This window comes from Homo sapiens, chromosome 4 (genome assembly GCF_000001405.40).
Source record: "Homo sapiens chromosome 4, GRCh38.p14 Primary Assembly".
Taxonomy (NCBI): domain Eukaryota; kingdom Metazoa; phylum Chordata; class Mammalia; order Primates; family Hominidae; genus Homo; species Homo sapiens.
Genome location: NC_000004.12, coordinates 28,473,624 through 28,494,473, shown reverse-complemented (window position 1 = coordinate 28,494,473; position 20,850 = coordinate 28,473,624). Strand labels below are relative to the sequence as shown.

The following is a 20,850-nucleotide window of genomic DNA, read 5'->3' as shown; positions in this document are numbered from 1 at the left end:
GTTTAAGTTCTTTGTAGATTCTGGATATTAGACTTTTGTCAGATGGGCAGATTTCAAAGATTTTCTCCCATTTTGTAGGTTGCCTGTTCACTCAGATGCTAGTTTCTTTTGCTGTGAGGAAGTTCTTTAGTTTAATTAGATCCCATTTATCAATTTTTGCTTTTGTTGCCATTGCTTTTGGTGTTTCAGTCATGAAGTCTTTGCCCATGCCTATGTCCTGAATGGTACTGCCTAGGTTTTCTTCTAGAATTTTTATGTTTTGGGTTTACATTTAAGTCTTTAATCCATCTTGAGTTAATTTTTATATAAGGTGTAAAAAAGGGGTCCAGTTTCTGTTTTCTGCATATGGCTAGTCAGTTTTGTTTTTGTCACGTTTCTCAAGGATCAGATGGCTGTAAATGTGTGGTGTTACTTCTGAGTTCTCTATTCTGTTCCATTGGTCTGTATATCTGTTTTGGTACCAGTACCATGCTGTTTTGGTTACTGTAGCCTTGTAGTATAGTTTGAAGTCAGGTAGACTGATGCCTCCAGCTTTCTTCTGTTTGCTTAGGATTGTCTTTGCTATATGGGCTCTTTTTTGGTTCCTTATAAAATTTAAAGTATTTTTTCTAATTCTTCAAAGAAAGTCAATGGTAGCTTGATGGGAATAGCATTGAATCCGTAAATTACTTTGGGCAGTATGGCCATTTTCACAATATTGATTTTTCCTATCCATAAGCATGGGATTTTTTCCCATTTGTTTTTGTCCTCTCTTATTCCCTTGAGCACTGGTTTGTAGTTCTCCTTGCAAACGTCCTTCACATCCCTTGTATGTTGTATTCCTAGGTATTTTATTCTCTTTGTAGTAATTTGAATGGGAGTTTACTCATGATTTGGTTCTCTGCTTGTCTATTGTTGGTGTACAGGAATGCTTGTGATTTTTGTACATTGATTTTTTATTCTGAGAAACTGCTGAAGTTGCTTATCGGCTTGAGAAGTTTTTGGGCTGAGATGATGGGGTTTTCTAAATATATAATCATGTCATCTGCAAACAGAGACAATTTGACTTCCTCTCTTCCTATTTGAATAACCTTCATTTCTCTCTATTACCTGATTTTCCTGGCCAGAACTTCCAATACTATGTTGCATAGCAGTGGCCAGAGAAGGCATCCTTGACTTGTGCCAGTTTTCAAAGGGAATGCTTCCAGCTTTTGCCCATTCAATATGATATTAGCTATGGGTCTGTCATAAACAGCTCTTATTATTTTGAGATATGTTCCATCAATACCTAGTTTATTGAGTGTTTTTAGAATGATGTAATGTTGAATTTTATCAAAGGCCTTTTCTGCATCTATTGAGATAATCATGTGGTTTTTGTCATTGGTTCTGTTCTGTGATGGATTACATTTATTTATTTGTGTATGTTGAATCAGCCTTGCATCCCAGGGATGAAGCTGACTTGATCATCGTGGATTTTTGATGTGCTGTTGGATTTGGTTTGACAGTATTTTACTGAGGATTTTTGCATAGATGTTCCTCAGGGATATTGGCCTGAAGTTTTCCTTTTTTGTTGTGTCTCTGCCAGGTTTTGGTATCAGGATGACCCTGGCCTTATAAAATGAGTTAGAGAGGAGTCCCTTTTTTTCTATTGTTCGGAATAGTTTCACAAGAAATGGTACCAGCTCCTCGTTGCACTTCTGGTAGAATTTGGCAGTGAATCTGTCTGGTCCTGGGCTTTTTTGGTTGGTAGGGTATTAATTCCTGCCTCCATTTCAGAACTTGTTATTGGTCTATTCAGGGATTCGACTTCTTCCTGGTTTAGTCTTGGGAGGATGTATGTGTCCAGGAATTTATCCATTTCTTCTAGATTTTCCAGTTTATTTGCATAGAGGTGTTTACAGTATTCTCTGGTGGTAATTTGTATTTCTGCGGGATCGGTGGTGATATCCCCTTTATCATTTTTTATTGTGTCTATTTGATTCTTCTCTGTTTTCTTATTAGCCTAAGCTAGCAGTCTGCCTATTTTGCTAATCTTTTCAAAAAACTAGCTCCTGGATTCATTTGATTTTTTGATATATTTTCTTTCCAAATTTTTCTACTGGTTATTTTAAAACCCATCATTTCTTGATGTACATTTATTTATTATTTTATTACTTTTTAAATGTACAATATTATTCAATTTTTTAGGACCTTAAACCTAATGAATGTTTGTTAACTTCTAAGCCATGTTGGCAGTTTCCTACATAGTAATTTGCTTATTATATGGGGAAATTGGTCAAAGATAAAATGAAAATGTCCAGAAAAAATACTTTCTAGTTAATAGCTAGCATATGAGACAGGATGGCAGAGGTTTCTCAGCATTCAAAGGTTATGATGGCACATTAACTCTGGCTTGAAGAAGCAAGAAGAACAATTTGCAAAGGAAGGACTATTTCCTAGATCCTGTTAGTGTAGGAATCAAGGGAAATAAATTCTAATAAGGTGGAGACCTCATAGAAAAGTATCTTAGCCTTTAATACTGCACATACGCAAGTTCGAGTACCCTTGCTTGAAAACCTGGAGAGTCAGAAGCCATCCATGAGAACACTGAGCACCTAAAATTAAATTTAAAAAGAGAAAAGAGAAAACAATAAAAGCACTGAAGTATAGATGAGAGAAAAGAGGATAGACTTAGGAAATATAAGTCTTTTATTTAAGTTCTTCATTCGTGAGTTTTACAGTTTTGGGTAAGTAAATTTCTGAATTTTCATGTCTGAAGAGTGGGTATTATAATACTACTCCCTAAATTCTAATAATGTAATAGAGATTATGTTACTCTCTGTAAATTTGAATTATTTGGAAACTGTAGCACCATACAAATATCCCTTATTATTAAGCTATAACAGATACTGTAGTTACAAATAATGTATATTTCAAAATTGCTGAAAGAGTAGATTTTTAGATGTTATCATCAAAAAACAAATGATAATTATGTGAGGTGATGGATATGTTAGTTAGATAAAATTAATTATCCCCCAGTGCATACAGGTATCTTAAAATATCATTGTATACCATAAATATATACAATTATTATTTTTCAATTAAAAATAAAATACAATTTTAAAAATTCAAAAAATATGTTATTACGCTTTGCCTAAAAACAACTTTGTATCAGTAGTGGCTTAAATAATAGAGCCCCACTAGAAATAGAAGAATATATGTCTTAATATACTTTAAAAAATATGTATTTATTAAATATGAAAAAAATGTAAGTTATTTTTCTAGATGTGCCAGTTAATACCCTATAGGTACTGGAGTTATAACACAGAAGAGATCTGAGTCCATTAAATTTAGAATATATTGCAGGTTTGACACTTGTTAAACTTGTGACTTCTAAAACTATGATAGCACCATAAATTTGTATAGGGATGTTTTTATTAAATGTGAGCAATTACTCTTAATTCCTAATACACGACTAGCACATAGTAGGCACTTCAAAATATTATTACTATGGAAGTATAGGAAAACAGCTTTGAAGCAAATTTGCTAGTTCACCGCACTCACCTTCAGTTGAAATTTCACTTTACAGTAAGTGGGGGAAGTGAGTCATTCAACTCCCTAGACTCAAGGATCACATTCAGACAGCCATCCCTATAATGAGAGCACCAGCATGGAAATCTATTGCCCTGCTATCAAAGCACTGGACCAGCACAGGAGAAAGTTTCAATTACATGCGGGACAGATGTCTTGCCAGTGGTCATAGATGTGTGTTTGCCTTTAGTGTCACCCTATAAAACCTATGATGGCTCAAGTTTGCAAATTCCTCATCACAATTTCAGACTAAGGAAAGTCAGTTGTAATGGAATTCCTTTCCTGATGAAAATGGCAATAATTTGCAAGACTGAGCCTCCCGTCGTTCAGGTTGTTGCTGCTGTTTTCAATGCCTAATGAATCACTGTGCAACATCTCATTGCATCTGAATTTATGCAAATTGACAATTAAACAAGGGGGTTATTTTAGTCAAATCAGTCAGATATTGTATCCATTTCAAATAATAATGTAAGCATAATTGACAGTGCATAATTAATGATTAGCTAAGGCTGCTAATAATTAAATGATAAGAAGCTATGAGAGGAGGGAGGCTCCAGTATCTTGGGCTGTAAGCCAGAAACAGAAAAATATATTTGCCTCGTTTCCTCACATCACTGGAACCCTTTTCTAGTTGCACTCATAGCGATGTCCGCATCTCAGGAGGTTGGGCATTTGCTTATAGTTTTCTAGAAACTTTCCTGAGGAAGTTAAGTAAATAAATACTTTGGTTTCATAGAATCCTTACTGGGTTTAATCCTGGATTTTTCTGTTTTTGAATCCTGGCTCTAACACTAACCAACTATATGACCTTGGGAATGCTATGTAACCTCACTAACTGAGCTTCCACCTTCCTAATTTATAAAACAATTGTTGTGTTTTAACACCACTTATATATGATTGTAGTGAGGATGAAATAAAATATTAAATATAAATGTCTTAATTAGTTCCAGAAACTTAATATATGAGAAATATTATTTATTGTAACTGTGATGACCATTTCTTTTGCATGCTCCTTATCTCTCTTTTTGCCTTATAAAAGGCAACTTTATGCCAACATTTAAAACATATTGTTTCAGCTTCCCACATTAATGACTGAGAAATTACAGTTAAAATGTATGCAGTCACAACACCAAAGACACTGCATGAAACAAATTATTAATAAACTTAACCTCAATACAATTAAAAATTACTGTTCTGGTGAAATACATTGTTAGGTGAATGAATATAGAAGACACAGACTGGAAGAGAATATTTGCCAAAGATATATCTGATCAATGACTGTTATTCAATTATATGAAGAACACTTAAAGTTCAATAATAGGAAAAATAACCCCCTAAAATGGGCAACAGGCTTGAACAGACAACCAACAAAAGAAGTTATATTGATGAAAAGTAAGCATATAAAAAGATGTACCACCAGAGAAATGAAAATTAGAACAATAATGAGATACTCAGACACATCTATTAGAATGGTCAAAGTTTAAAACACGAACAATGGCAAATTCTGGGGATGATATGGAGTAACACAAACAATTGTTGATGGGAATGCAAAATGGTACAGTTACTTTGGAAGACTGTTTGGCAGTTTCTTACAATGCAAAACATAATCCTACCATAGCAACCAGCAATGACATTCATTGGCATTTAACTAAATGAGCTAAAAACTTATGTCTACACAAAAACCTGCACACAGATGTTTATAGCAACTTCATTCATAATTTTCAAAACTTGGAAGTGACTGAGATGTTTTTTCAGTAAGTGAATGAATACATTAACCATGCTGCATCCAGACAATAGAACATTATTCAACTCTAAATGGAAATGAGCTGTCAAGCCATGAACATACAAAGGGGAAATATAAATGGACATTAGTAAGTAAAATAAGACAATCTGAAAATACTACACACTGTATGCTTTCAACTACATGATATCCTGAAAAAAGGCCAAACTATGGACCCAGTAAAAAGATCAGTGGTTGTCAAGGGTTAGAATGGAAGGAAGAACGAATAGCAGAGCATGGAGGAGTTTTAGAGCAATGACACTACTCTGTATGCTACTACAATGGTAGATACAAGTCATTATATATTTGCCAAGCCCAGGGAATATACAACACCAAGAGTGAGCCCTAATGTAAACTATGCACTTTGAGTGATAATGATGTGTCAATGTAGATTTACTGATAGTAACAAACATACCTCTTGGTGTAGGATGTTGATGGAGGAAAGTTGTTTATATAGAGAGCAATGAGGTATGTGAGAACTTTGTGCCTTGTGCTCAATTTTGCTATGAATGTAAAACTGCCCTAAAGTCTATTTAAAAACATGAAGTCTACAATATATCAACTTTCTTGCTTATGGCAAATCTCAAGTCTTATTAGATGTCGTTCCTCTTGCCCCTAGAATGATCCAAATCCCACATGTTACTTATATCTTGTTAATTTTTTTCTTATTCTGGAATATTCTGCACACTGTATTTCTGAGTGTCCTCTCCATTCTCTGACACTATTTTATTTTTTTATTACACTACAGGGTATTTCACGGTATCTTAAATACTAATACAAATACCAAAAAGGCATTGCTGAATTATTACTGAAGTCAAAATTCCTTTTTTTATTCCAGTAAGACTTTCTTCCCCAATGTAATGTTAAAACTGTTTATTATATTCATATTATGAGTGCTCCTAATAACCATGCCAAAACTCAACAGCTTTAAACAATAAACCCTTAATCACCTCATGAGTCTGGGAATAAGAGATGTAGATTGCTCATGGTTGGATATTGCTTTCAATCTCTGCCATGCTCAGTCCCATATGTGGGGTTGACTGACTGTCAACTTATTTAGGTTGTTCTTGCTTGGGGTGACTGGGCCATTAATACTCTCACAGCTTTTCTCTGCATATAGCTCTAAACCCCCATCGTGTCATCACAAGCATGTTTTCAGGGAGATGACAGAGGTACAAGAGAACAAGAAGAATATACAAAGATATCTTCAATATTGTATGACTTCATTTCTGCTAACACATATTCATTATGAATCCCAAGGCTAAGTTCTGATTTAAAAGGCAAGGGTAGGTCTTCCTGCCCACAATGAGTTGGCACTGGACAGTTACATGACAAAGTGTGAGAGTGAAGGAGGTGAATAATTAGAACCAAGTAATTTAATCTGCCATCTCCATCACCCCTTTATTATTATTATTCAGTTTATAATTTACAGATCATAAGTGACCCTTTAGATGATAGAAATGAAAAATGAAAAACTTTAAAATGCCAGTTAGCATACAAATAGGCACATCAATCAGTGGAACAAAATAGAGAGCCCTAAAATTAACCCACATATTTACTGTCAGTTGGTTTTCAACAAAGTGGCCAAGAATATACAATAGGTAAAAAAAAAAACAAAAAAAACAAAAAAAAAAACCAGTCTCTTCAATAAAATTATTGACAAAACTGGGTATCCACCTGCAGAAGAATAAAACCGGCCCCTTTTCTCACACCACATGCAAAAATCAACTGAAAAAATCAATTAAAGACTTAAATGTAACACTTGAAACTGTAAGACTACTAGAAGAAAACAAGGGTGAATAACTGGATGGCAACGGCCTGAGCAATGATTTTTTTGGATTTGACTCCAAAAGCTCAGGCAACAAAAATAAAACTAGAAAAATGGGGTTAGATCAAACAAAAACGCTTCTGCACAACAAAGTAAAAAATTAACAGAGTGAAAAGACAACCTGGGAACCTTTGGATTGGGAGAAAATATTTGCAAGCCATGTATGTAACAAGGAGTTAAAACCAAACATATACATGAAACTAAAACAACTCAATAACAAGAGTTGTTAAATAAATTGACGAAGGACCTGAGTAGATATTTCTCAAAGAAGACACGCAAATAGCAACAGATATATGAAAAAATGTTCAACATCACTAATGTTTAGGAAAATGCAAATAAAAGACAAAATGAAATATCACCTCACACCTGTCAGCATGGTAATTATCAAAAAGGTAGAAGATCAAAGATGAAAGATGAAAACGGTGAGGATATAGAGAAAAAGGAACTCTTATACACTATTGGTGGAAATGTAAATTAGTATAACCATTGTGGAAAGCAGTATGGAAGTTCCTCAAAAACTTAAAAGTGGAATTACCATATGATCCAGCAATCCCACTTCTGAGTATTTACGAAAACGATTTGAACTCAGTCTGTTAAAGAAATATCTACACTCTCATGTTCATTGCAGCATTACTCACAATTGCCAAGTTATGGAAGCAATGTAGGAGTCCATCAATGGATAAATGGATTAAAATGTGGTTTATATACCTAATGGAATATTATTCATTCAGCCTTTAAAAACAGAGAAATTCTGTCATTTGTGACAACAAGGATGAACCTGGAGGACATAATGCTAAGTGAAATAAGCCAGGCACAGAAAGACATATACTGCATGTTCTCATGTATATGTGGAATTGAAAACAATCACACTCACGGAAGCAGAGAGTAGAGTGGCAATTACCAGCGGCTGGGGGTGGGAGAAATGGGAAGATGTTCATCAAAGGGTACAATATTTTAGTTAGAAAAGAGGAATAAATGATAGGTATTTGAGGTGATGGGCATGCTAATTAGCCTAATTCAATTATTCCACATTTATACATATATCATGCATCACTTTGTACTCCAAGAATATTAAAATTATAATTTGTTACTATTCAATAAAATGAAAATATTAAATTTTAAAACATTAGACTTAAAGAAGTTTTTCTAAAAAAAAAAAAAAAAAGAGAAATACCAATGGGTAGACAGCTTGAATTTTTTCCAACAAAATGACATAAGGGTGATGACTTGAAGGCAAAAATGGATTTCCTATTTCTAAATTTTTTACTGTTATGTAAGAAAACTCAGAGGAACACTAGAAGTATTCTAGAAATTTGCTTCTGGTGTGTGTGTGTGAGAGTGTGTGTATGTGTGTTTGTGTCTAAGCAATCAGCACATTCATTAGTTGATAGGCAATTCACTAGTCCCATTCAATTATGTAGGATATACTGAGATTACACAACATGCCTCATAGTGCAATTTATTGACTTGTATTTTATATAAGTGTTTCAGTTCACATGGCTGCATAACAAACCACTACAAATCTTAGTAGCTTGAAACAGCTCTTTATGTTGGTCACTAATCTGCAGTTCAGCAGGACTCTGTGGCGTCTCATCTGTGTTCCACTCAGCATCAGCTGGGGCATTGTGGAGGCTTGGGGACGGTTTGCTCACTTATATTTTTAGTTTTAAGAAGATTCAAACTGATGGCTGAAATAGCTGGGGATACTCAAGCATCTGTTTCTATCTTCATTTGACTACTTCAGCATGAATGCTTCAGGATAAATAAAACACAAGGATTTCACAGTTATGTCCCAAGAGAGAAGAGAGCCAGGTGGACGCTGTATCACCTTTTGTCACCCATTGAATCCATGCAGTGTCACTTCCATCAAATTATGATCCCTATTTGAGGGGACAGTATTCAGATTTTATCTTTTGATGAGAAGAGTATCAAAGTTCTGGGGGAGTATGTGACAATACTTATATTTCTATGGTCATTTTTGGAAAGTGCAATTAGCCACAGATGCCATAAGACTATAGCCCTGTGGTAGGGCCCACCAAGATGGCCAAAGGAAGTTTCTTCATTTCAGCACTAATCCATGGAGGACCCCAGCATTTAAGCTGATAAGCTGATAGTTTGTAGCCCCTATACCCTTTAAAACAATCACCATATGCCCCATTTCCTGAGAACTCTTCTCTTCTAAGAAGAAAGCTCTAGTAAGGGCTAATCAAATAAATTGTCTTTGAGCATGTACAATATTTTCAAAATTGTTGATATTTATGATTTGCTAATTTATTTTTAGAGTTGGGGTCTCACTATGTCCCCCATGCTGGAGTGCAGTGATGAAGCCATAGCTCACTGCAGTCTCCAACCCCTAGACTCAAGCCATCTTCCCACCTCTATTGTCCAAAGGCCTGGGATTACAGGTGTGAGCCACCAAGCCTGGCAGCCATGGTACCCAGCGTTATTTAGACAAGAAAATGTGTTCCCCTTTCAGATTATACAATACTGGATTCTAATTATTCCACTTAATCATATGCTAAATTAGTCATTATTTGGCTTATATTTTTGAAATTAACCTATGTATTTATTTCTTTTCATTTCTCCCCAAAACTTTCCCATTAACACCATCATCAGAATATATGATCTATAACAAAGGAAACACATGTTGTTTTGCATTTTACCACTATATTCTCAGCACATAAAATAGTTAAATGAATGAATAAATTAAAATCAAAATAAGTTGTTACTATAAGTAAATAAGGGAGATATTAGGGAAATAGAGCCAGACTTTTACAAACAATGTATAAGAAGCAGATAGGTTTTGCCAATAAGTTTGACAGAACTTAAGAGTTGAAGCCCCCATGTCTCAGTCTGTTCTTCTACTATAACAAAGTACCATAGACTAGTGGTTTACAAACAACAGAAATTTACTTCTCACAGTTCTGGAGGCTGGAAAGTGCAAGATTATGGTGCTGACAGATTGGGTGCCCAGTGAGGGCTGGCTTTCTGGTTCATAGATGATTGCCCTTTCACTGTGTCCTCACATGTTGGAAGGGTCAAGGAAGCTCACTGTGGCCTGTATTATAAAGACAATGATCCTATTCATGAGAGCTCTGCTCTCATGACCTAATCTCCCAAGAGCTTTACCTCCCTATACCATCACCTTGGGAGTTAAGATTTCAAAGTATGAGTTTTGAGGGACACAAATATTCAGTCCATAGCACTCCACATAGAGTAGGTTTCTTTTGTGTTTGCATGCAAGAGAAATGAGGTTATTCAGATTCTTCATGAGCTAAGAGTTATACTGTACTAAACAGCAAATTGATCCTTTTCAATATATCCTCCGTAACTGAAAAAAAGTACTACAGAAACTTCCAGGATGTTTATAAAAACAAACTAAACTAAATAGGATCTAAAAGCTCTTCAAGATTTCTTAAAGCTCTTACAAACTGAGATAAGCCATTTCTGTTTCTATAAGAAGTTTTAGCAGCTCTATTTATGAGTAGAGCTCAGGCCTGCATGGCGAGAGAGTCCATTGAAAGAGAAGGCCCTAAACAGCTTTTTCCCAGAGATTGTTTGAAGTGGGACCATGGATAAGAAATTTAAGAAACTGAAGTATTATAAGAACACCATTCCTCCTTCTCAAACTGTAGATGATGATTAAAATCTAACACAGATCTTTGTTACTTTAGAGTAAGACTTTGATTTCTAAAAGGCAATACATTGACATTGAAGTGAATAAAACTTTTATTGCCGTCATATATCACTGACAAACCTAGGGGAAAGAGTATAAATGTCAGAGAAAGACACCCCTGGATTCATATTCTAACTCTAACGACTATTAGCTGAGTGTCATTGGGCAAAATACTTTACCTTCCTGAGGTTCAACATTTTCCCCTTTTTTTAATTGAACATACAAAAACTTAGTCCACTGTTTGCTTTTTACAATTTCATGAAATTGCATATTTAGGTATGAAAACAGTGCCCAATTAAGCAAAACTAATTGGTCCCCAGATTTCTTCTAAAAACGTGCCCTTAAAATTAGATAACTTACATCCTTTCCCAGGAAAGGAGTGAAAAGTGGCTGAGAGAGTGCAAAGGATAGACACACCATTTGCAGGCGAGCTAAGGAATTGTGCATAGTGAGACCAGCTTCCTTCATGATACCTCTGAGGACTATTGGAATTTAAACGTATTCAAGGGGGCAGTTGGTTAAGAAATATTTAATAAGGTTGTACAATGTACCAGGAACTGTGGGAAGCAAGAAAATGTGCCCCAGAGCAGAATTCCACAGAATCGAACGTCATCACATTTCAATAAATATCTCAACAGTCTCTTCTGCTTCAATGTGAGTTTTTGCAGTGTGAATAAGCTCCCATGTGCTTGATAAACAGGGGGCTTATGTTAGCATAATGGACAAGTCATATTAGCTCAAATGTGATTTTTCCCAGCCAGTTAATTTTTGTGTAATATCAGCTGAGCCCAGCAAGCCATTGAGGAAAACAGGCCTGTACCTCGTGCCCATTCTTCTCCTGTGACTCCAATTGACCACCTGTTCTGTTTGGGGAGTCGTTTTCCTGATTTGCCTGCATTTTGACCTTGTCCCCATGACTCAGCAACCTCAACTCTTCTTGACTCCATTTTGTCAAGCTGCTTTTCCCTTTTCTTTTTAAGGCAAAGTCCTATATTTTTCAGAGTAGTTTGTTTGTTTGTTTCTATAGGATTTAGCGTGTTTTCTTTGTGCTAGTATTTTGATGTGGATTGCAATTGTTTCATTATCATTTTGTTTGTATCAGGTTGGGAGTCACCTATACCAATCCTATTAACATTTTCGCCAAAAGCCCTATTTTTATGCACATTTTTTCAGAATGCTTTTAAAAGCCACATTATAGAAGAGTTTTTGTTACTAACTTCCATAAAAGCCAGAGAAATGGAGGTTACACTTGAACCTTTACTTAGAAACTTTCTCTAAGATTTGTACCCTGAGTTCTAACAACACCAGCGACAAACACTGTAACAGCCAATCTCTTCTACTGGAAAATTTCCTCCTGGATACCAGAGTTCAGTGTACCTCCTATGTGGTCCCCAAACCCCCTTTGCTTTTTAACACAACAGTAATCTCATGTTAATATAATTTCTCATTGATTTCTCAATGTCAAACACAGATTCTGTCTATAATAATTAAAGTTGTAACAGTTTATCATTATTTTGCACAACATTTACCCTATTGTCTGATACATTACAGGGTATCAAAAAGCAGTTCCTGAATGGCAGAATGAATTAATGTTTCACAGTGTGCACATATCAGAGGGGAACCAGAAAATTCATCAAGAGAGTCCATGTCCACAGTTATCATGAGCACATCATCATCGATATCAAATTCAATAGGTGATTGCAGCTTATATTTTTTAGCTTTTGTAGGCTACCCAAATCACATCATTTCCAGCGGTCCTATTCTACTTTAGATCAATCATTCTTAAGGTAAGTTTTATTGCCACTTTTACAGGTGGTAAAATATAAAGACCAGACAGTTAAAGCAGTTTGACTACAGTGAGAACAGGTATTTCGGGTTCCACAGCCTCACAACCCACGTGTTCTCTTTCCTGGCCAGATTGGCCCTGAATTACTACAATTATTCCCAGGGATTCCTGCTTAGTAAGATTTATGAAAGGATTATTTAGTATGCAAGGTTTTTGATTCCTGACACATTATCCTTTCTGTTCCTGTGGGCTAAGTAGATGAGGAATTAACATATTTTGTATGGATTAATACTTTCATTTAATATCTCTGTGGAGACGGTTTTACAGCATTGTGTGATGTTTTGTGCATGCTGATTTGAAGAGGCAGGAAAGAGAATGCTTATTTGTTGACATTTTGGTTTTGGTAAATAAAGTGACCTTTAGCGTTCAGTCACACACTTGAATTTAAGTAAAGATAAATGAAAATCTGGAAACCGTGGCTAAAAATCAAGTATATTTAGAATGAGATGTGCGTTGTGCTCAGAGGAAAATAACTTATTTACTCCTTCCGTCTGGACTGTTTTCCTCTAAAATATCCAGATATTCATGAAGGACAGATTAGACAAATAAATCCAAATCAAACAGTATTATTTTTCTTTGCAAAGGCATTGATAATATGATTTTCTTAAAAGACTAAGATGTAGGCTGGCGCCGTGGCTCACGCTTGTAATTTCAGCACTTTGGGAGGCCGAGGTGGGTTGATGTCCTGAGGTCTGGAGTTCCAGACCCGCCTGGCCAAGAGGGCGAAACCCCGTCTCTACTAAAAATACAAAAATTAGCTGGGTGTGGTGGTGGGCACCTGTAATCCCAGCTACTCAGGAGGCTGAGGCAGGAGAATCACTTAAACCCAGGAGGCGGAGGTTGCAGTGAGCCAAGATCGCACCATTGCCCTCCAGCCTGGGAGACAAGAGCAAAACTCTGTCTCAAAAAACAAAAAGATAAGATGTAAATCATGGTAGCCCCTGGCACCACACCTTCATGCATTTCTCCCAGAAAGATTTATTTAGTGTATGTTATGGTACAGGTACTGTACTAACTGATGGAGCTAAGCTCTGTAGGAGAATTAAAAACAGGATAAGAATCCATGCTTTTAAAGAAAGAAGGGTTTTTTGTTGTTTTGTTTGTTTGTTTTTCTTGAGACGGAGTCTCCCTCTGTCGCCCAGGCTGGAGTGCAGTGGCGCGATCTCGGCTCACTGCAGAAAGAAGGGTTTTGTATATCCTTTTTTTATCTGCATTTTGAGAGTGCACCCACTGTGCAGATAGAAGTAAATCCACAGACACAGATTCAGCCTTTGTCTAGATAAACATGAACTGGGCATTTTTTGCTGTCAGAGAAGTTTTGGGAACGGGCCAAGTACAAATTATTTTACAACAAGCCAGTGGACTATCAAAATGAATTCAAATGTCTATCTCTCCTTACCCCAACCTACATATACACATATGCCTATTTTGGTTTACCTTTTTATTCCTATTTTTAGGTTTATGTAACACCTTCTCCAGAGACATTCCATAGTGCTGCCAGGTTCCCTGTTGATCAGTCTCTTCCCACTGCTTTACATCCTGTCGGCAGTACCAGAACCTCCCCAGGAATGTCCGGACCACCATCCTCCTTTGACCAGATGCAGCTATAACGATACTGGCCTCAGCAAAGAGGTGATACATGAAGGTCACACATTCCTATACCTCAGTCTCATAATTTTCTGCTACGCCACTAATACATGACCGATGTGTGTGGATAGCAGAAAGATTGTAACAGAAACATAGAGAAAGAGCAGAGGGGAGACCTAGCACTATTTTTTAATACAATTTTCTGCTATATTATGAAGGAGTGACTGATACGTGGGGGTAGCAGGAAGAAAAAAAAACACAGAAAGAAAGAGAGAAAGCTGGCATTCCTATAGTCCATTATATTGCAAATTCCCCCATCCCCTTCCCCCTCTTTTGAGCACCTCACCCTCTATGCACAGAACCCGGTATCCCTTTAGGATCTCAACCACTTCCTTGCCTGGACAATGGCATATAGTAACTCACAGAGCATAGTGTCTGGTTTTTGAGAAATTCTTCTTGAATACCTGAAAGGGCTTTATCAGAACACTCAAAGAGTGGGTCTCTGATGGCTAGTTTGGCGTTTCAACTTGACTGGGTCACAGGGCACCCAGACATGTGGCCAAATATTATTCTGAGTGTGTGTGAGGGTATTCCCGGTTGAGTTCACCTTTGAATTAATACACAGAGTAAACCGGATTGCCCCTCCCAATGTGGCTAGGGCTCATTAAGTCAATTGAAGGCCTGAATAGAACAAAAAGGCTGCATGAGCGGAAACCCTTTCTGCCTGACTGCTTTGCTGAACATCAGTCTTTTCTGGCCTTCTAACTTGGACTGAAACATGTACTCTTCTTGGGTCTTGAATCTGGTGCTTTTCAGACTTGAACTTAAGCATAGGCTCTCCTGGTTCTCAACCCTTCAGATTTGGACTGGAACTACACACCAGCTCTCATGGATCATCAGCTTGCCAACTTCAGATTGAAAGAGAGCGAGAGGGAGAGATTCAGAGAAAGAGAAAACCAATAAGAGATATATATATGTACACACACACACACACACACACACACACACACACACACGATGATTCTGTTTCTCTGGAGAACACTGACTAAGATAGGTCCAGTCTTATTTAAGTCTTGTGGCCAGTGCGAGATGAATGTATGTTTCTTTATTCTTTTTTTTCCTAGTAACTTTTGATGTATTGTGCAAAGCACGACTGCAAACACTCATATGCACACTCATTCTCATTTACATATACTCTCCAAATATCCTGTGAAACAATAGAAAAAGGAGAACCATTTTCCCAAAGGTCACATAATTCACAGGCATTACCACAGTCTGCAAATTGAGTACATATTTCACATTACCATGCAGAGTCATTTTAATTCTTTTCCTTATCCTTCTTTTCTACACTAATTTTTGAGGCCAGCCTGTGCAGTAAAAATAATTCTTATAGATTTTAAATTTTATTTGCCGTTAGTTTTCAAAAAAATGGATGATATCAACAACCCCCTGTTATATCAGCACCCTGTCCTTAACTCTGCATAAATAGGGTAGAAGCTCTGAAATTTAAAGTTTTTTGTATTTTTTTTTCCTTTCGGGCATCTAAATTGAATTTCTGGGCATTTGTGCTTTTTCTCCCAGAATACTCTGTATGTAGAAGAGGAGCAGTGCAATAAGGATTTGTTTTGCCCATTGCAGAGATAATCCCCAGGGTTCCCAGCAACCCAGGGCTTCATGAGAGACGTCCCCTTACACTTAGGCTTGTGAATCTCATTCATGGGTGGATGCCACCTGGCATTGCAAATGCCACAACTCCCTCATTATGATCATATAAGCACATTGAGAGCAGGGGTTTGGTCTGTTTTGTTCTTTGTCTTATGCCCCAGCTCTTAAATCACTGCCTGCACATAGTTGGTTCTCAATAAATAGGATCAAAAGCATTGCAATAATTCATGCTTCCATAACACACTTGTTGGGGTGTACTGGTGCCAGGAACTGTAAGAAAGAAAGCTAAGTGGAGTGTGCAAGAGAGAATGCCAAGACAAATGTAGCAGACTTAAATTCTAATGACAGTTACAGACATAGAAGGAAAATGCTAAGCAGTAGCTACAAGGAAGGAAACAATATAGAGAGGCATCTATGGCCCAGCATCGTTTTCTGTTTTAAGCTTATTGTATTTGAATGGCACATTGCATTTTGTTTGTCAGATCTTCCTCTGTTTATGTGCAGTTAAGCAACAAGACAAAACATTTTATCTTATTTCCATTGAAAATTTTGAGTTCTAAAGTTTTTAATGAACAAAAGCATAAAAATTGAATTATAGAAGAAATAGATACCCCTATAGCAATACTACAAGTATTTCAGAGTGATGTTTTTTAATGATAGATTTTTTAATTTAACCATACTGATTGGGTCATATTGTTATTAGCCTGCTTGGTGTTCATCTGAAAATATTATTATTATTTTTTTTCTTTTCTGGGATGGAGTTTTGCTCTTGTTGCCCAGGCTGGAGTGCAATGGCACATCTTGGCTCACTGCCTCTGCCTCCCAGGTTCAAGAGATTCTCCTGCCTCAGCCTCCCGAGTAGCTGGGATTACAGACGCCCGCCACCATGCCTGGCTAATTTTTGTATTTTTAGTAGAGATGGGATTTCGCCATGTTGGTCAGGCTAGTCTCCAACTCCTGACCTTGTGATCCACCCACCTTGGCTTCCCAAAGTGCTGGGATTACAGGGGTGAACCACCACGCCCAGCCAAATGTTATTTTTTAATGACCTGAAATATCAGTTCAGCTATTTTGAGACATTTGTTATAATGTTGGCTTACTCTCAGGTTCTGTAAAATCAGCTGCTTAAACTACGTATTGCTAAAGTGAAAAGACTTTAAATATAATAAACTAGATGACAGAAAAACATGGTAAATATTTTTAAAGTTATATATTACATCTCAGGACTGACTAGTAAATTTAGTCATTGGAATTTACAATTTTACTTCTGATAAATATTAGTGAGTTCAAAAATCGTTAAATGGGGAATTTGAGGGAAGTAAAGAATCAAAGGTTAATTCCTACATGAAATAAAACTTTAAAGACTTTAAATATTCTGTATTTAAGTCAATATGGCTTCATCCAGTCACAGAGCACAACAGTAACAAAAAAGCAATTAATATTTACTCATCATCTCTATTGTGTCAAGCCACAGAATAAGACCTGGATTCCTAAAAAAAAAGAAAAGAATTCTATGCTAATAACAAATGATCAAATTTAAACTTTAAAATAAATTTGTAAGGTGTTTACTCCTCACGTGCCTGTTTAACAAATGAAGCTATAGTGAGAAGTTTATGGTGGTTATTTAACGACACAAGGCCAGTAAATGTCAGAACTTGGGTTACAATTCGTTAGCTGTCAACTTTGTTATTCATGAAGTAATACTGCCTTTTACAGAGGGAAATGGGGAGAAAAGAAGAGGAAGGAATAGAAGGAACAAGTGTAGAATGAATGCATGGCTCTGAGGGATATTTGTGGGCTCTCTCAGTTTAGATGGCAATTTATACATAAGGCATGTATGTCTTCCTGCAGGCTCCAGCCAGAGTATCTTAGCTTTAAATTGGCTTCTACCTTTTGCTCAGCAACTTGGACATTTGTGCAAATTTGCAATGACTCTCTTTGCTGTTCCCCTCTTTGGTTTTGGACATTGATACTTCACAAATATCTCAACCACACTCCTCATTATTAACACAGCAGTCTCAACACACTCTTACCTTCTTGTCCCAACTTCCAGAACCTTGCCCCAGGACTCAGTTCCAGGACTTCCTGGGCACCTGAAATGAGAGTTCAAGGACATTTTATCATTAGAAAATTCATTGCCAAACATTTTTTTAAAGCTTATCCAATGGATATAAGCCTTAATTCTTGATTCTGCCAGATACATACACTAACAACCAGACAAAAAAAGGAAAACAAAGTTCAAAAAAACAAAAAAAGAGGTAGTTATCAATGCGTCAGAAGAGTGTGGAATAGCTTATTTTTTGTTCTAGGCTTATTATTCATTTTCACCTAAGTGTTACAGCTCTGAGTGAAGAGTAGCCAGCCTTTTTTAATCAATCCAAAATCTTTTTTGGTTCACTGTGCAAAAAGAAAGAGATTTGGCACTGCCATTTCATTTTGTTTTTCACTTGTCCATCAATTCTTTTCAGACTCCTCGGGGTGAGTAAAATACAGGTTTGTCAACCCTGTGGAGTATCTGATACGGGATTAAATTTACCTGCTGCTTTAAATTGCCTCAATCCAGGACATTTCTGCAATCATTTCCCTTGATTATTGAATTATGTTTGCAATTTTAAACACTTAAAAGACAATGTCCAAGAAGAATTTTATTTAAAAAGAGAAACACATTGGTTTGTGACAGAGGGAAATTTTACTAAGTTTTTCTGTACTTCTTGAATGTTTCATTTCCAAAGATTTAATTAGTGTGGAGCACATAGTACATTGCTATCAAGAGTTAATAGACAATATTCAGCAAACAAGCATACTGTCTTTATAAACAAGTATTCCTCTGAAGGTGTGGTTTGAAATACAGAGTTTCAGATCTCTGATGATAGAGTTGTGTTTTTGATGCAAAAGCATTAACTCAATAATTCCAGCATGTTGTAGTATGGACTACATTAAAATCCAACATGGCCCTCTGGGACTCATTATGAATTTTTTGGGCCCAGCATTTTTGCATTTGTGTGCTCTTTCTTCCAATAAATAGATGCATTTCTAAAGCTGAGTTGTATTATTGTTTTGGTATAAAGATGAATGGAGTCCAGTCTAATCGTGTTACTTTATTTTTCTGATTTTACTATTATTATTTTTTTTTTTCAGAGAGTGAGTCTCACTCTGTTGCCCAGGCTGGAGTGCAGTGGTGCAATCATAGCTCACTGTAACCTTGAACTCCTGGGCTCAAGTGATCCTCCCACATCAGCCTTCTGAGTAGCTAGGACTACAGGTGTGTATCACCATACCTGGTTAATTTTTTAAAGATTTTTTAAAAGTTGGGCAGTTTGCTATGTTGCCCAGGCTGGTGTTGAACTCCTGCCCTCAAGTGATCCTCCTGCCTCAGCTTTCTAAAGTATAAAGACTAAGGGTCCCCATAACCAGCCCAGATTTTACAATAAGTAAGAGCATTGATTTGCACTCTTAATATAGCCACAGGCCCTAAAATACTACAGCTTCAGTGCCTGAAGTGTAAGTCAATTTTGTTGGCCTTGCTGAAGTTCAAGGTGGGTGACTATACACATGGTGTGATTTCAAGATCTGTTTGAGATTCAAATTTTCCAAAACCATACAACTTATTACAGTTCTATGTTTCCTTGGTCATTGACGTAAGATGTTTACTTTTTACACTGTTCATTTAGTAAAAGATCTGTGGTTGTTATGGACTTTATGAAGACATATTTTATCCTCAGGTGACAGAGGTTATCAAGATAAATTTGTTTTTGTCTATGGAGTTCTCAAAAGTTAATTTTTCAGATTATCTAACTGGGATTGTGATAGGAATAGAGTGTCTGACATCATAGGTTGGTATTAAAGGAGTTGTATAGAGGCTCTGAAAGACTGGAAATAGGGTATACAGAGAGTGCTCCCATCTGGTTCCAAAACCTGCTCTATCCACAGACTTTCTTTATTCAGTTAATGCCGCAATTTCATTCTAGGTGCACAGGACAAAAGCCTGAGACATCTTTGGTTCCCTATTTTTTCTCATACCTTCTACTAAATCACATCGTCTCTAACCTTAATAAAGATTCACTTCTCTCCACATCCCATTGCTATTACTCTTGTCTAAACAATTATCACCTGTCTGAAATATTGCAATAACCACAATTGGTCTCCATGTTTGTGTCCTTGCCACTCTTGTAGCCCTTCTATATTAGTCCACTTTCATACTATATAAAGAACTGCTTGAGACTGGGTAATTTAAAAAGGAAAGTGGTTTAATTGACTCACAGTCCAGCACGGCCGGGGAGGATTCAGGAAACTTACAATCATGGCAGAAGGCAAAGGGGACGCAAGGCACCTTCTTCACAAGGTGGCAGGAAGGAGAAGTGCTGAGCAAAGTGAAAAGAGTCCCTTATAAAACCATCAGATCTCATGAGAACTCACTTATTATCATGAGAGGAGAGAAATTGCCTCCATGATCCAATTACCTTCACCTGGTCTTTCCCTTGACACATGGGGATTATGGGATTATAATTCAAAATGAGATTTTGGTGGAGCCACGAAGCCTAACCATATCATTCCACCCCTGGCCCTTCCAAAATCTCATGTCCCTTTCACATTTCAAAACCAAGCATACCTTCTGAACAGTCCCCAAAGTCTTAACTCATTCCAGCATTAACCCAAAAGTCCAAGTTTAAAGTCTTATCTTAGACAAGGCAAGTCCCTTCCACCTGTGAGCCTGTAAAATCAAAAACAAATTAGATACTTCCTAGATACAATGATAGTACAGGAATCAAATAAATGTTACCATTCCAAATGGGAGAAATTGGCCAGAACAAAGGCTGCAGGCTCCATTTTTGTCCAAAATCCAGTGGGGCAATCAAATCTTAAAGCTCCAAAATGATCTCCTTTGACTCCATGTCTCACATCCAGGTCATACTGATGTA

General features: G+C 36.7%; 1 long non-coding RNA gene across 3 annotated transcripts in view, besides 1 other annotated feature; it reads right to left on the bottom strand.

The window, feature by feature from the left end:
• LOC105374557 (uncharacterized) overlaps nt 1-20,850 on the bottom strand; it is a 485,690-nt gene that overhangs the window by 108,726 nt on the left and 356,114 nt on the right. For all 3 annotated transcript variants that reach the window (NR_188396.1, NR_188397.1, NR_188399.1), the window contains one exon: nt 17,965-18,024. This is a non-coding gene — a long non-coding RNA (uncharacterized LOC105374557). The remainder of the gene's footprint in view (nt 1-17,964; nt 18,025-20,850) is intronic.
• Nucleotides 3,533-3,827: a silencer, noted in NCBI's record as "tiled region #1062; HepG2 Repressive non-DNase unmatched - State 24:Quies, and K562 Repressive non-DNase unmatched - State 24:Quies". NCBI's record gives its function as "represses a minimal TATA promoter and a strong SV40 promoter by Sharpr-MPRA in HepG2 and K562 cells {active_cell/tissue: HepG2 | K562}" and the evidence as "EXISTENCE:reporter gene assay evidence [ECO:0000049][PMID:27701403]".